At 38.9% G+C, this 17,687-nt stretch overlaps 1 pseudogene; it reads left to right on the forward strand.

Annotated features, from left to right (window-relative positions):
* EEF1A1P36 (eukaryotic translation elongation factor 1 alpha 1 pseudogene 36) lies at positions 272 to 1,702 on the forward strand (annotated as a pseudogene).

Below are 17,687 nucleotides of genomic sequence, written 5' to 3' on the forward strand. Positions count from 1 at the left end.
TTGTTTTATAGCACATGTTGTTTTAAGGTTAAAAAAAACCCTGATGTATTGGCTTTCAAAAATGTATATTTTTTCATACCAAAAGTATTAGATTGCACATTTAATTGGTGAATCATATGATATATGAATTATATCTCAATAAAGCTATTTTAAAAATCATACTATATCAGAATATTAGATGTAAGTCATTTTTTTCTAAAAGATAAATTTCAAGTACAAGTAAAATAGGTCAGAAAAGACGCTGCTTTCCAAAGCAATGTTAAGCTTTTCCTTGGCTACAGGAACACAGATGTTGTGAAATCCACCCCTAAAAGCCAAAATGGGAAAGGAAAAGACTCACATCAATATTGTCATCATTGGGCTGGTAGATTTGGGCAAGTCCACCCCTACTGATCTAAACATGTGGTGGGACTGACAAGAGACCCTCTGCAAAATGTGATAAGAAGTCTGCTGAGATGGGAAAGGGCTCCTTCAAGTATGCCTGGGCCTTGTATAAGCAGAAAGCTGAGTGTGAACGTGGTGTCACAATTGATACTTCTCTGTGGAAATTTGAGACCAGCAAGTGCTATGTGACCATCACAAGACTTTATCAAAAACATTATTACAGGCACATCCCAGGTAGAATGCGCTGCCTTGATTGTCGCTGTTGACATTGGTGAATTTGAAGTTGGTATCTCTGAGAATGGGCAGACCCCTGAGCACACCCTTCTGGCTTGCATGCCAGATGTGTAACAAGTAATTGTTGTTGTTTACAAAATGGATTTCACTGAGCCACCCTATAGCAGAAGAGACATGAAGAAATTGCTAAGGAAGTCAGCACTTACATTAAGAAAATGGGCCACAGCCCTTACACTGAGGCATTTGTGCCAATTTCTGGTTGGGATGGTAGCAACATGCTGGAGCCATGTGATCACAGGCCTTGGTTTAAGGGATAGAAAGTTTAGGGTAAAGATGGCAATGCCTATGGAACCATGCTGCTTGAAGCTCTGGACTCCTTCCTACCACCAACTCATCCAATTGACAAGCCCTTGCGTCTGCCCCTCCAGGATGTCTACAAAATTTGGGATATTGGCACTATCCCTGTGGGCCAAGTGGACACTGGTGTTCTCAAACCAGTAGCGTAAACACTCTGCTCCAGTCAACATCACAACTGAAGTAATGTCCGTTAAAATGCACCATGAAGCTTTGAGTGGGCTCCTCCTGGAGACAATGTGGGCTTTAATGTCAAGAATGTGTCTGGCAAAGCTGTTCGTCGTGGCAACATCACTGATGAAAGCAAAACCACCCACCTGTGGAAGCAGCAGGCTTCACTGCTCCGGTGATTATCCTGCATCCTCCAGGGTGAATCACGCTGGCTGTGTATGCCCCTGTACTGGATTGTCACACGGCGCACATTGCTTGCAAGTTTGCTGAGCTGAAGGAAAAGGTTGACTGATGTTCTTGTAAGAAACTGGAAGATGGTTCTTAAATTCTCGAAATTGGGTGAAAACTATCGTTGATATGGTTCCTATCAAGCCTAGGTGTGTTGAGAGCTTCTCTGACTATGCTCCTCCAGGTCATTTTGCTGTTCATGATATGAGATAGACAGCTGCTGAAGTGTCATTAGAGCAGTGGCTGCTGGAGCTGGCAAAGTCACTGAGTCTGCCTGGGAAGTTCAGAAGGCTAAATGAACAGTATCTCTAATACTTTTCACCCTAGTCTTTTTTTTTTTTTTTTGAGATGGCGTCTTGCTCTGTCACCGAGGCTGGAGTGCAGTGGCACCATCACGGCTCACTGCAGCCTCAACCTCCTGGGCTCAGGCGATCCTCCCATCTCAGCCTCCCAAACAGCTGGGACCACAAACCTGTGCCATCACACCAAGCTAATTTTTTTTTTTTTTTGGTAGAGATGAGGTCTTGCTGTGTTGCCCAGGATGGTCTCAAACTCCTGAGCTCAAGTGATCCTCTCACGTCAGCACCCTAGTCTTAATCAATGGTGGAAGAACCATCTCAGAACTGTTTGTTTCAATTAGCCACTTAAGTTTAACAGTAAAAGACTGGTTAATAAACAATGCATCATAAAACCTCAGAAGGAAAGAATGTTTTGTAGACCATTTTGTTTTTGTTTTCATGTGGCAATTTTATTAGTTCTTAAAATCATTACTTTTTAACGGAAACACCTTGACTAAAAATCTATCACAGAATTTTGAGACCTATTAAAACAAAGTTTAATGAGACAAAAAAGGTAGAGCAGAATAATCAACTTAGAATGTAACATTTTGTCACCAGCTGATGATAAGTAACTACATCACTGAAGAAGTTTACATCATATTCAGTAGTGAATCTAATATTATAGATGGAATACTACCAATAAAAATATTTTTGTTTTGAAAAATCTGTCAACTATAATACATATAATGGCCATTGTACATCCATCTGCAATTAAAATATGTTCATGTAAATGCTTTTGAATAAAATTTATATGGCATCACTTCCTAAAAAGCTTTTTCAGTACTCTGTTTTCCTCTTAATACATCATATGGGAGTAAATTTCAAAATCTCTTAATCTTTGTCCTGTTCTGTTTATGTTTCTCCTTACAAATTTGGGGTGACCTCAAAGTCTTCCTAAGCATTAGGAAAGGCTTCTTTTCAACAGGATGGTTTAAAATTAAGTTTGCTAAATAACATGATTGCCATCACACCATTGGCACCAACACCCATAGCAGACATCGCTAATTAAAGAACTAATTTCTCCTGAAGAGTATAGATTAGACTCAGCTGTGGAGCTCCAGCCAGCTAGGAAAACCTATCTCTTGAACTGGTTATACAGCTGAAGGAAGTCAGTTCAGTTGTCCAAAGTCCCTCTCACTGTTTTATAATGGTGGTCTCTATTCTACCACAATCACTGTGAGGGTTTGTAATGCCCAGTTTGAGAAACGTGGTCATGACGTGATTTACTCCTGCTCTTCCATAGTTCTGTAAGAAAAGGAAAAAGTTTTTACCTCTCCAATTTTATAAGCCAGGGAATTTTCCAGAATATTAATAGTACTGGAAAAGACCCTGAACAGTTAGTGCCGTGGCAGGAGGGTCCAAGCGGCTGCAGAAGAAGCACATTCTGTTCCTTTTCTTCACCAGCCAGCCAGACCAAATGAGTGGGTCTCCTCTCCTCTCCGGAGCCACATTCCAGCCTGGACAGGAGAGGTGCCCCCGACACACAGTGTTTCCTACTAGCAAATGTGCTAAAATTAACTGAAGTTCCTCAAGTCCTGGCTAGGGAGGTAACACCGTCAGCAGAGCTCCCCGTTCCTTCCTCAGCACACTGCTTTCCTTGCTATCCCTGGGGCAAGTTGTCTTTGGCATCTTGAAGGATTTATACGTGTTGTGTCTTAAATGTGTAACTCATTAGTAATGAGCCAATAGTGGAAATTTCAGTGAACAGAGCTTTTTACTCCAGTAATTCCAGGTGTGAACCACAAATAGAAAGGTTCTTTTTGTGAATTTTTCCTCTACGGGCGCTAGCTATCTGGTGTTTGCACCCTGAGTCCTAGGAAAGCTAACACGGAAATAAAGCCTCCCAGTGTTTGTGTCTGTTATCTATAGGTCCTCCTAATATTGCCCTTCTAGGACAAAGGTGCCTTCCTTTCCAATAAGCTTTCTTCAGGGAGAACGCAGTGAAGGAGCCGGATCCTCTGAGACCAGTTCAGAGGCACCCCCTCTCCCACACAGCCTGGTGCAGCTGGGGCCGGCAGGCAGGAAGTTTGCCCCACGGGATAGCAGTTGCGGTCCTGCAGGCTCCCTAAGAATGGCATTTGGTCTCCTCAGAGAGGTTGTTAAAGTCATGTTAGACCTCTAAGGAATTTCCTCACTTACCCCAGGCTGACTCCAAGCCCCAGCACAAACTTTTCACTTTGGATCTCCTCCCCTCACCCACAATCCCTTTGGCCTGAGGTGATTTCCTGCCGTCTGGTCAAGACTGGCCCTGGTGCCCTCCCCTCTCCATTACCAGCCTCTCTCCTGTGTCCCATGCAGACCCACAGAGAGTCTTGCCTTCTGCTGACAAAACATTCCCATGCTCTGTGATCCTTCCTCTCCAGGGCTCTAGTCTCTTTCTGGATCTCTTCAAATCAATATTCCGCTTCCTAGAAAGCAGGAAGTTGGGCCAAAGCACAACAATATGGCTGCCGGTAGAGCGATGTGGCAGGAGAGAAAGTGACATGGGCTCAGAGGCACAGCCTGGGGAGCGCTGTTCCTCACTTGCCTCCTAATCTTGGGCAAATCTCTTACCTGCTTTGAGACTTTGTTTTTTCATCCTAAAAAAGATTATACTCTTATCCCAGGAGTAATTAAATATTCTATTCAAGGCATTCAGTACTGGGCTGGCAACAGGGTGCTTCTCGATATTAGTATTACTTGTTAACAGTGGCATTTATCGAAGTATCTCCTGAAGAAACTAATCTCATGATTCACTGTAGCAAATAGGGTTCAAAATTCAAATATGCTTGGGAAATTTGAACTGTGAACTGAAGCTTACACCAGGCCATATGGAGATTTATAATGATCACAGGTAGTTCTTCCCCTGGACAAGCTACTTAACTTCTCTGCCTCCATTTTCTCATTCATAACATGGGGGCTAATAACAGTTTCTTCCTCTTATTATTTTTGTGAGCACTAAATTAGGTGCCCTATATTAAATGTTTTGCAAAATGCCTGCTGTATCACATATGTGCAACAAATGTTAACAAGTAGTATTAGAATTAAGTAGTAGTATTACAATTAAGTAGTATTACAGTTTATAGTGCTATCACTATTTAATGATACTGAAAATTCCTAAAATTAAAAACAACAAATAACACCGTCTTTTTAATGTTGCTGAACTGTTGCAATGTTGCAAACTTTATTTGGCCAGGGATCTCTTTTCTGGTGACCAGTGGGAAACACTAGCTAAAGAATTAAACCTTTGAGAGATATTTGGTTTGGAACAGAAAGCACCTGAAGATATTGTGTCTTGATCCAAATAACTTTTCAGCCTCTAGGATTTCCCCCGAACTCTTATTGGCATAATGGTTCATGCTGTCGGAGAAGAAATGTTGAAGATGGTGCAGTAGTGTCTGACTTGTGGGCTTCAGTGTCCAGACAAGAGAGCATCCTAGCAGAGACCCAAGAACATGGATCTAATGCTCAGATGGAACAGAGTCTAAATCCTCACTGAGTATTCTTTATTATTTTGGAGGAAGGAATAAAGAGAAATTTTCTAATCTCACTAAACTTCAGTGTTCTCATCTACAACATTAAAAATAATTGTACCTACCTCATAGGATGGTTATATAGTATAGTAAATGTCATGTAAATTAACCTCAATAAAGTCTGTCTCCTAGTTATTATCACAATGTATTAGTCTGTTCTCATGCTGCTAATAAAGACATACCCAAGACTGGGCAACTTATAAAGGAAAGAGGTTTAATGGACTCACACTTCCACATGGCTGGGGAGGCCTCACAATCATGGTGGAAGGCAAGGAGGAGCAAAGCCACGTCTTACGTGGCAGTAGGAAAAAGCTTGTGCAGGGGAACTCCCATTTATAAAACCATCAGAACTCATGAGACTTATTCATCACCATGAGAACAGTATGGGGGAAACTGCCCCCATGATTCAGTTATCTCCACCTGGCCCTGCCCTTGACACATGTGAATTATTACAATTCAAGGTGAGATTTGGGTGGGGACACAGCCAAACCCTATTGCATTATATCATTAGAATCTTTGTTATTATTATTCCAGATTCTCTGCCTGACTGGTATGTGACCTTTCACATCATACACTTGTATGTCTGGAAATTCCTTACAGACTTTTCAGGGTTGAAAGAGAAAATGGACGTGAAAAGTGTGGCCTTGGAAAACACTCACTGGGTAGAACTCCATTCCTTCCCCTGGCTTGCAGGACAGCCAATGTATTTCATTTTTTACTGTGCCTCATTGCTTCTTATATGGAGACATTGCTTTGACCAGACTATAAATCTTGAAAAACAGATTGAATATTTCCTCCCCTTGCTCTACCGTTCTCTAAGTACCTGGAATATGCTGAGCTTATAGGAGAGTATCAGATTCACTGCATGAAAGGAATAATGGAAAGTCAGGTATTAAACCTGACCAGTGTGGGAGAAAGTTTCAAACTACCATCTTTCTAGAACCTTCAAATTAAAACCAAAGAGAAAAACACATTAAGAAACTCTTGTCTGGCTTTGTGTCCCAGAAACAGGCACCATCTGTTCTGTGGAAAAGGGCAAATTTAACTCTTGGCATGCTTTATTCTTTCTGAATTAAAGTATTCTTTTTTGGGGGGCGGGGGGTGGCCTGTGGGGAGACAGTCTTGCTTTGTCACCCAGGTTGGAGTGCAGTGGCACAATCTCAGCTCACTGCAACCGCTGTCTCCCAGGTTCAAGTAATTCTCCTGCATCAGCCTCCCAAGTAGCTGGGACTACAGGCGTGCACCACTGTGCTCGGCTAATTTTTTGAATTTTTTTGGTAGAAACTGGGCACCATGTTGGCCAGGCTGGTCTCCAACTCCTGACCTCAGTTGATCCACCCAGCTCAGACTCCCAAACTTCCGGGATTACAGGTGTGAGACACCATGCATGGCCCTAAGTTAAATTATTCTTATGTGAGGTGTGCCTTAAATTCAACCTCAGAGTCCTCAACTTGAGGAAGCAAAATCCTATGGGTAATTTTTAACTGTTATTTTTAATTGGCATATAATAATTTTACATATTTATAGAGTATAGCGTGATATTTTGATACATGTATACAATGTGTAATGATAAAAATCAGGGTAATTAGCACTCCATCCCCTCAAATATTTATCATTTCTTTGTGTTGGGAACATTCAAAACCCTCTCTTCTAGCAATTTCCTATGTGTATTTTGTCTTGCAGAATCTGATCCTCCCAGAATTGGTCTGCCAGTTTCCAGGTCCTAAATAGCTCCCAGAACACTGCAGAATGGCTAACAGCAGTCCCCTAGTGTAGAAGTCAATGTCACCTACTTTGTTCTGAAGATTGTGTACTAAGGTAATTAAATGAAAAAGGAAACTTCTCATCTCTGGATGTCTTATGATCTCAAAATTCTACCTTATATAACTATTCAGAAGGCAGGAATAAGCGTCATAGGATGGCCATAACATGCAAACAATTTTATATTAGTTACATTTTCATTTATACTCTCTTTATTGTAAAAGTTGAGAAAATAACAAAATTAGCCATAGAAGTATATCTCCTTTGGGGAAAACTAAATTAACATGTAGTTTATTATTAGATAAATTCACTTTGTTGAACAATCTGATTCATTTTTTAAAAAATAAAATATAGTAGGTAGTTGTCTGCTTCTTTAGTCAGTAGTCAGTGCATTCCTGGAAAACAAGGGCTTTACCTTCTAGTGTAATAAACTTCCTTTAAGCATACTTAAAATATAGAAATTAATGTGCGCAGCTTTCATTGCCTAACCCATCTATTTCATGAGAAGGACCATATCTGAATTCTTGAAGACAGATAATATAATGCGAAGCTTCCTATTTATTTAAAAAATCAATGGTGCCAATGTGTTTCCATTATGCCAGACACTTGCCAAGCATTCAGTTTCTTGAGACTGAAAATTTTAATTTAGCAGCGTTTCTTACAAATGGACATGAATAATGAATTTGGGTGCATTTTATTGTTTGTTTAGTTGTTTCAGTTTGAAGTGAATAGAAATATGTGGCCATGTCACTTTTTTCAATATATTCCACGAATGTACACAAGACACTGTGAAGGAAACACTGTTTGGGTCCAAAAGCAATACTTCCTAACAAATTTCCTTTAAAAAGCTGTAGTAAGATAACATTTCTTGTCTTTATTATGTAATAATAATAGTAAATCCCATTAGTATTGCATTTGAGATTCCTATGCAGATCTTCAAATGTCCACCCAACCATATGGCAATATTGAAGTCCTTCTTTTAAGTCTTACTTTGGGTTGTTTTAGGAAAGAATTTACGACTCTCTTTGCAAAGTGCCAGATCTACCAGAAGAGGGCACTGTGCTCCTAATTCACTCCGAAAGAAGCAAACATTCTCACTTTGAGAAACAGCTCTGTGTCCTGTCTTATCCCAGAAGATTCCAGGGGCTGAAAAAGGAATGTTTACACCAAGCATCTATTGCATTTGGATGGAGATGAAACGGGGAAGTCGTAATGAGTTCAATAGTTCCAAAGGCAAGAAAACAAAGGTGACAACTATTTACTGGTTTGTCACCACTTCGAGTCATTTTTCGTCCATGCCACACGGTGGCGCCTCTTCATCAATTATAGCTGCGCTGCCGCAGGGAACCCGCAGACAACTTCGGTCCCAAAACCTGGAGTTGACAATCAGCACTGTCACTTTGAAAGTATATATATATATATATTTTACATAAGCAGAAGCTTTATGGAGAAATTTTGTAACAGCTTAGTTTTCTTTTTTTCCCTCTACTTATAAAAATTTTCTTCTTTTAGAGAATGTTTTCCTGTTAGAGATGATCAAGTGTTGGTTCAACGAAACAGAGAGCTATTTTCTTTGTATCTGGGGGATTTTCACCGGTCCCTGAGCAGAGTCTCCATTCAATGTAGAGAATTCTCAGCTGCACCTTGTCACTTGTTTCCACTACTAGGTTAAAATTCTCTCAGCAAAACTAAAGGAAAGCTTTATTTTAAGCAATCCATCCATAACAATCCACCTGTCCAAGCCATGAAAAAGATAAATTTTTAAGGAATATAATTGTATTACTCATGTTGCAGTTAGGTTTTCAATTATGAAGAGCTTAGCTGGATAATTTTCTAACTCATAATACTGGCTCTCAATTTGCATTTTGACTTGTACAGTCTCGTGAGCTTGAGACATTTCTGGGCTGTACTGCAGAAACTGGAGCCGCGGTCTCTCTTTGTCACATTAGAGTGCTGCACTTTCTAGAAAGACAAAAGAAGAGAGCAGCCTGGGCGTCAGTGGGCTTATGTAAGGAATGCATACTGATACGATGTCACAATAAAACTACTGATGAGGGCTGGGCGCGGTGGCTCATGACTGTAATCCCAGCGCTTTGGGAGGCCCAGGTGGGTGGATCACCTGACATCAAGAGTTCAAGACCAGCCTGGGCAACATGGCAAAACCCTGTCTCTACTAAAAATGCAGAAATTAGCCAGGCATGGTGGCATGCCCCTGTAATCCCAGCTACTTGGGAGGCTGAGGCAGGAGAATCACTTGAACCCGGGAGGCGGAGGTTGCAGTGAGCCGAGATTATGCCACTGCACTCCAGCCTGGACAACAAGAGTGAAACTCCATCTCAAAAACAAACAAACAAACAAACAAACAAAACAGACTACTGATGAGTATCTTTTTTTTTTTTTTGAGACGGAGTCTCACTCTGTTGCCCAGGCTGGAGTGCAGTGGTGCGATCTTGGCTCACTGCAAGCTCTGCCTCCTGGGTTCACGCCATTCTCCTGCCTCAGCCTCCCAAGTAACTGGGACTGCAGGTGCCTGCCACCATGCCCGGCTGATGAGTATCTTTAAAAACCCACCACATTGGTTAGTTAATCATTTGGGAATGCTCTAGGTTCATCCTCTACTCTCATGCTTCAATGGGTATGAGGTGGGGACTGGGAATATTTATTTTTACAAAATACGCCAGGTAATTCTCCCTCACTTCCAGGTTTTGGGGTCACTGAAATGGAAAATACGGTAAAAGAACAGATGAGAGATAAGAAGAACTTGAGTTAAACCTCTAACAGTGAGTATGGCAGGAAGCATTTAAGACACAGGGACAGATAGATTGTGAGGACTGGATAAATGAATGAAATCTATGATAATTCCAAGTTTATGGCTATGTGAATGAGAACACTGTGGTGCCAATTCACTAAAGCAGGAAATAGATAAGAACAAAGAATTATAGAGTAAGATGAGTTCTGTTGGGGATATAATACATTTGAAATGAATGCATAACTCCAAGTTGCTATGTCTAGTCCAGTTTGGAGGCCAGGAATTATCAAGATACAAATAATGTTGAACCCTCAGGAGAAAATGAAATGCTGAAGAGCACTGACATTTAAGCCTGGAAGCTGCTGAATTGCAAAAAACATATTTATGGCCAGCTCAGAATTGTTTAAGTTAAAAAATATATTGAAGCCTCTACTTGAGACTTGTATTCTCCCATTTGGCTAAGGATTCCTTTATTTCAAATTTTCTTAAAATCAACAAGAATGCTTGCTCACATCACCTTCTTGGCCACCACAGTTACTGAGTTTGCCAGCCCAGATATAAGGAGTGGACAGGGTTTGAGAAAAACTGAAAGATTGGGAAACAATGATGAGAGACAACATAACCAGGAGAGAAAAGTATGAAGCAGAAAGAAGTTTGCAGCAATCATTCTGTTGAATGCAACAGAGAAGGTCAATGAGATTGGTCTCAGAAGCAATTTGACTTTTCTTCTAATAATTCATGAAGGAGATGCATTTTTTCAACAAATGTCTGTTGAGCACCTTCTCTGAACCTGGTAGTATGTTAGGACCGAGTGAGACGACAATAAACAAGATAGATGTAATTGATGTCTTCGTAAAATTTATAGGCCAGAGGCCATAGAAAATATAGAGGGGATACAGAGAGATGAAACCTATGAAAAATGTGAGTGCCTGATGCTATCAGGGAAGAGGAAGAGTGCCCGGGACAGTCTCCTTGAGAAAAGGACATCTGCTGGCCATTTCTGCTTGGGTATCCGGCTTCCTATGGCTAGGACCAATCTGGCTTAGCCTTTGGCTTTCTGCTCTTCTTTGGCTCTGCACATTCTCCTGGTCTTAGAGTTGCTTTTAAACCAGGCCCCGTCAAATGGGTGGAATCTTTGTATTCCTGCCATGGGCCCAAGGAACCCCATTAACCAGGTAGATAAACTTTTCCCTACATTTATGAAAAGAGGAAAAATTTAAGTGGAAACCAAGTCATTTCAGATATTAGGCCATATGAGCTTTTTGACACGTAAGCTTATCAGTTTCATGAATGTTAATTTAGAATGCTACACATTGGCACCTAGAAGTCTGAAATGAGGAGACAGAGCTGAGATTATGGGAAAGTCAAGGCTGCTAGGATTTGCAGGAAGAGTATGAGAGAGGAGAGAGACGCACGGAGAGAAAATTCCAGGAGTTTTCCCCATTAAGTATTCAGTTGACTACGAATCATTTCATGCGGAAGCCAGGGAGAAAACCACTTGAAAGGACTAGAGGGAACAGTGCCTGGAGGTCACACAAGCTGGGAATAATGCTAGCGCCTGTTCACAACAGCCAGAGTGGAAATCTCACAATTTATCAGGTAGAATACTGAGACGAATTTTGCTTCAGTAGTGGGAAACAATCAACCCTAGACTAAATGCTGCGATTTTCACCAACAAAGCATAAAAGCAGATTTGAGGATTAAACCTTTTCCAAGTAACTTAGGAGTGTTCCAGAATAAAGTTCAAGAATATTTATATTAATATAAAAACATCTGGCAACCAACATGGTAAATCTTTAAATATCTGGCATTCAGTCAAAAATTACTGCAAATAATTTTTGCAAAGAAGCAGGAAAATAGAGTCCATAATGAGAGAAAAAAAGTCAGTCAGTTGAAACTGACCTAAAGATGTCAAGGTGATCGAATTAGTAGACAAGGGCATTATAATAGTTATTATAACCATATTTCATATGTTAAAGACACTAGCAGAAAGATTGGGCCTGGGTAAGAGAAACACAGACGATATTGAAAAATTCAGTTAAAATTTCTAAAGATAAAAATTACAATGCTTTTGATGAAAAACAAGCTGGATGGGGATATTTCCTGGTGAAAAGATTGAATTTAAAGGCAGCTATAAAGACTATGCAAAACGAAACTCAGTGAGAAAAAAGACAAAGAAAACAAATAAATAAAAAATCAATTAACTATGAAACAATGTCAAGGTGCCAAATGTATTAATTGGAATCTCTGAAGGAGAAGGATAGGGTTAGAAAAACAATTTGAAAAAAATCATAGCTGAAATTTTCCAAATATAATGAAAAACCATAAAACCAAGATCTGGGAACCTCGAGCACAAGAAACATGAAAAAAGTTACAACAGAGCATATCATAATCCAATTGTTTGATACTAATGGTCAATAGAAAGCAGAGAAAATACCCATTACATGCAAAAGAATAAAGATAATGATAACAAAATATTTTTATCAGAAACAATACAAAAGAGTAACATCTTTAAAACACTGAAAGAAAAAACTGTGTCTAGAATTTGCTACCTGGCAAATATATTTTTCAAAAATAAGGTGAAGTAAAGATTTTTTAGAATACAAAAGCCAAAAGAATGTATTACTAGTGGACTTTCACTACAAGAAATGTTAAAGGAAGTCTGACAAGCAGAAGGAAAATGATACCAGACAGAAACCTGGATATGCACAAAGGGATGAAGATCATCACATGGTTGCTAATTGCATGGATTAAAATAAAGGCTTTTGCATATTATTTAAATTTGTTTACAGATAATACACCTTAAAGCAAAAATATGTGTCATGGGGTTTATAACACATGAAGAAGTAAAATATACGACAAAAATAGCAAAAAGCTCTGAAGGGAAGAAATGGGATTTACTGTTGTAAGTTTTTGTGTATAAAACAGTAAAATATCACTTGTAGGTAGACTGTGATACGTTAAAGGTACACATTCTAAACCTGTCAACAACCACTAAAATATCACTACTAAGAGTCACAGCCAGCCAACAAAGGAAATAAAATGGAACTATACATAACACTCAATCCAAAATAAAGCAGAAAAAGAAAGAAAAGAGAACAAAGGACAAACATAACAAATAGAAAACAAGATTATAAATTTTAACCCAACAATATCAATAATTGTATTAAATATAAATGGTCTAAATACCCCCTATTAAGAAACAAGTTACCAGATTATCTTTTAAAAAAATCAAGACCCAACTATATACTGCCCAAAAGAAATTCACTTTAAATACAAAGACAGAAATCAGTTAAAAGGATTGAAAAATATATAGCACTATTCAATATGAACTTAGTACATGAAGGTTATTTTGTTATGAACAAGTGGCAGCCTGTTCATAACTGTAAGACAGATGAAAATAAAACTTTATTTTATTAGAATATAATCACATTTTATAGCATCTACTAAAGGAAATGAAGCTCCTAAATTGGAGAGCAGCAGTTTATATTGTTGATTCCAGCCACCAAGAGAAAACATTGTTACTCCTTTGTCCCAGTATATACTGACAGAATTCTTCAAATGATGCTTAAGTTGGTAAGAAAGACAATTTCTGTAGAAACTCAGAAGGCGTGGCCTTTCTTTGGAAAACTGTTGTTTAGAAGTTCCATCAACTCTAGCAGTGACACTGGGATGCAGGAGCAGCCTTAGGGAATCTGGAGTGACCCTCGAAGCTCCAGCCAAGGTTGGTCAAAAGCAGGAAAGGCAGCTCAAAGGGCTCCACTGATAAAAAGACACCTGCAGCTTCTGTCCTCACCGTGACCGCAGCTGACCCTGAGCTGGAGCCGAGCTAACTTAACGTTCTAGATTATGTTTCCTAACTCTCATCTTGAAATGAAACACCCTCCTAACACCTTGTGCTTTTCCACTGAGAACAGATCATAATTCTAATAAATTATTTATTTGTGTGACTTTTTCCCAGCGTATACATAGCGAATGATTTTTACTTTCATTATTTAAAAAATATGCATGTATACTTTTTATTTTGGAACAGTTTCTCACAATAAGTTGAAAAATTAACACAGATAACACTTGCATATCCTTCTCCTGGCTTCTCCTCATGATAACATCTTAAAAGCAATTAAACTGACATTGGTACAATAAAATTAAATTACAGACCATATTTTGATTTCATTAGTATTTGCATGTACTATTGTGGTGGGGGCGGGCGGCAGTGCAGGTTATGTAGTTCTATGAAATGTTATCGCCTAAAACACAGTCATGTAACTAGCACCACAATCAAGATATAGAACTCTTCCACTATGTAGGGTCCTCCAGTTCCCCTGATTTCTTTCTGTGTCCTGATCAAAAATCACAGAATGAGTCAGGCACTGTGGCTCATGCCTATAATCCCAGCACTTTGGGATGCTGAGGCAGGAAGATTACTTGAGGCCGGGAGTTCTAGACCAGCCTGAGCAACATAGTAAGACCCTATCTCTACACATTTTTTTTAAATTGATGGGCATAGTGACATTCACCTGTAGTCCCAGCTACTCAGGAGGCTGAGGTAGGAGGATCACATGAACCCAGGAGGTTGAGTCGAGGCTGCAGTGGGCTATGATTGTGCCACTTCACTCCAGCCTTGGTGATAGAGCGAGACCCTGTCTCTATTTAAAAATATAAAAAAACACAGAGTGCCTTGACTTCTCTGTGAGACAGACAGCTGTAGGTTTTTCCCAGCAAGTTTGAACCTAAATCAGAGCCTTGAACATTTTCAGGTACTGACTTCAGGCACTGAAATGTATCTAGGTTGTTGCCCAAAGAAACTGGCCCTGGCTCTGAGCCAAATTCCTTTAAATCTCATATGAACTCCCTACCCTGACCTTCTTGCTGCAGACGTACCTAGGCAGAACACTCCCTTTCTCTCGCCATATGTAAGCATGTTCCCTTAATAAATGCCTTGCACTGATCACTCAGCGTTTAGTGCTTCTCTCTTTGGAACCCCAACCAGCCCCCTGTCTGGACAGTTTGGGGCACTACCTTGTGGGAAATCACCTGGCATTGCTTTTGGGGAGATGCCAGCTGTGGTTCAACAGGGCAAAAGACACTACCACAAAGATACTTCCTCATTTTATTTCTTTATAAAGCAAACCTTAGCCCAACCTAGTCCCTGGCAACTACTCATATGTTCTCCATGGCTATATTTTGTCACTGTGATAATATTATATAAATAGAATCATACCTTATGCAACCTATTGAGATTGTCTTTTTCATTCAGTGTAATGCCATTGAGAACTATCCAAATTGTCATGTGTGTCAATGGTTCATTCATTTTTATTGCTGAGTAATATTTCATTGGTTGCGTGTACTCCAGTTTGTTTATCCGTTCATCCATTGAAGAACATCTGGTTGGTTACCATCTTTCAGCTATTATTTTAAAAGCTGCTATGAGGATTCATAAAGGTTTATATGTGAACATAAGGTTTCACTTCTCTAGTGTAAATACTCAGGAGTATGATGGCTGTGTTGTACAGTAAATATATGCTTAACTTTATAAGGTACTGCAAACCTTATTTCAAAGTGGCTGTACTATTTTGTATTCCCACCTGCAATGGCGAGAAATCTACCAATTATTACTTCACATCCTCATCAGCATTTTCCAGTTTTTTTTTTATTTTAGTCATTCTGATATATGTATAGTAGTAGTTGTGTTATTATTGTTCATTGTGTTTCTCTCCAGTGAGGCTGTCAGTTCTAGAAGGTCAGAAAATGTGTCTTATTTATGGCCTGGCAAACACTGACATTCAATAAATATGTACTGTCTAGCTGAAAGAGTACAAAAAAAGACAAGGAAATGAACAGAGAAATGGAGCAGTAGAAATGGAGTGTGGGGAGGAAACAAGGAAGAAAGAAAGACGGGTGAGGAATCTGTGGGTGTGGGTCCACAGTGTTTGCTCACACTCTAGGCTGCTGCTCTGTCTGTGAGACCAGACTGCTGGGCCCTACAGGAATGATGTGTTTCTGTAGCTGCCTGGGCATCTGCCCACACAATGGGACTTATGTTCTTTAAAACCAAATAAGTATCTCAATGATATGTCACCTCTTCTATTCTTTGGTAAAGTCACACCTACCACCAAAAGGGAAAAGGAACATCTCTTATCTCTTATCCCATAATCTTGTTGCTTAATCAAGTCCATCTCTAGTTGCAGAAGACTGAAAGAAAATGTTTCTCTTGTGTATGGGGGTAGGGGAGAGGGGCATTTTAAAATTTGAATTCTGTTTTTCCACTTGTTAATCCATGGACTCTCATTTTACACTGGAATAAATATTTTGCTGCTTTTATGGATACCAGGAGAGAATCATTGAATGCAAATTATCTTGAAAATCTTGGATGTGTAGTTTATGCACATATATAGTGCTAGCGCAGCAAAAGGGAGAGGAAGTTGTCTTAAACTCCTTTTAGCACCCATCGCCTTTGCAGGTAGTCTTGTTCATTCTTTCCCTGGAGTATGCCAACCAGTTCATTGCCTCCAGCCTTCCTGTCTTCACTACATTCCCATTGTATTTCTTCTCTCTCAGGAAGAAATAACACTAAGATGTAATGTGTTACCTTTCCCATTACCAAATAATGATGATCTATTTTTGGAATTTCAGGTAGCAGCCTGAAATTAGCACTGGTTTATCATCTATCCTGTAGGCTTCTGAGTTCATGAAGCTAAATCACATGAATGGTTATCAATTTTAACAAAGTAAGCCCTGCCTATAAGACCTAGCCTCAAGCTAGTCTTATAGTTCTGTTTACTGTGTTTTTCGACCAGCAATAAGATGGCCCATGAAAGGGGTTTATATGGAAAAGCTTGATTTATTTAATCTGACATTACATGCTCTATATCACGTTGATACAAAACACTCTAAATTCATATTTTTAAGAGCTATAAAAAGCATATTTATGCTAAGCCCCACTTAGCCTATTGGGCTCTTGGCAATCTACTGTTTAAAAGAAATTTTAAAAAACATCCTTGGAGATTATCTAAAACTACACGATTTCATAGCAATTCAACTAATATTTATAATAAAATCACTACATGCAATTGACTGTGCTGAAAACTTTACAGGGGTTACAAAGAGAAATGTGAAAGCTTTTCAATTAAATCACATTAGATAGTCTAATACACATACATTTTTAAATAACGATTTTAAGATGATTTTTAATTAACATTCTATTCTAGCTTCTTCATTGTACTGGGATCAACTTTAAATCAATCCTTTGTTCATTGTATTGAAGTAAGACAAAGATTTAATGTCAGTTCTTCACATAAGAGTAAGTACCAAAGGTACTATTACCTGGAGACTAAGCATTGTATAACAATTCCAAGTGTTTTTCTGTAGATATGCAAAATTAGCTACAGTACAGAACCAAGATTCTCCTTCTTTAAAGACCCTATGCTCACTGATCCCACCTTTCCCTTTCACTCCCGCAGGCAGAGTGCTCAGAAGAATAATTTATACATTAGGTAGAGTTGAATCAATCCAAATAACATAAAATAATATTCTTATTGGAGATGCAAACATATCTTACTTAAAGAAAGTTCTTTTAAACTATTGGATGTTAATAAATTCTTCTATATTTAGAAGAATTCTTCCACTTAAACAAAATTTTTTTAATTCTTCCCTTTTTTTTCTACAAATTGCATTCTCTCCACTGCTCACAATCAGCTTAAGCACTTCTCAAGTTGTTATTAAAGAGTATATCTTCTTAAAATAACTAATATTTCTAAATATAGAAAAATTTATATCTTTTCTATATTTTCTATAATATAGAAAATATGATAGTTCTAAAAATACCACTAACATTGAGGGCAAATACAATACTTAATTGAACACAACATATATGCCAAAGATTATGAAAAGTAAATATGTATACTATATGTGAAAAGAAATTATGCCCTATGGCCATCAGAACTGATGCTATGTCAG

Source organism: Homo sapiens, chromosome 6, assembly GCF_000001405.40.
Source record: "Homo sapiens chromosome 6, GRCh38.p14 Primary Assembly".
Lineage (NCBI taxonomy): Eukaryota > Metazoa > Chordata > Mammalia > Primates > Hominidae > Homo > Homo sapiens.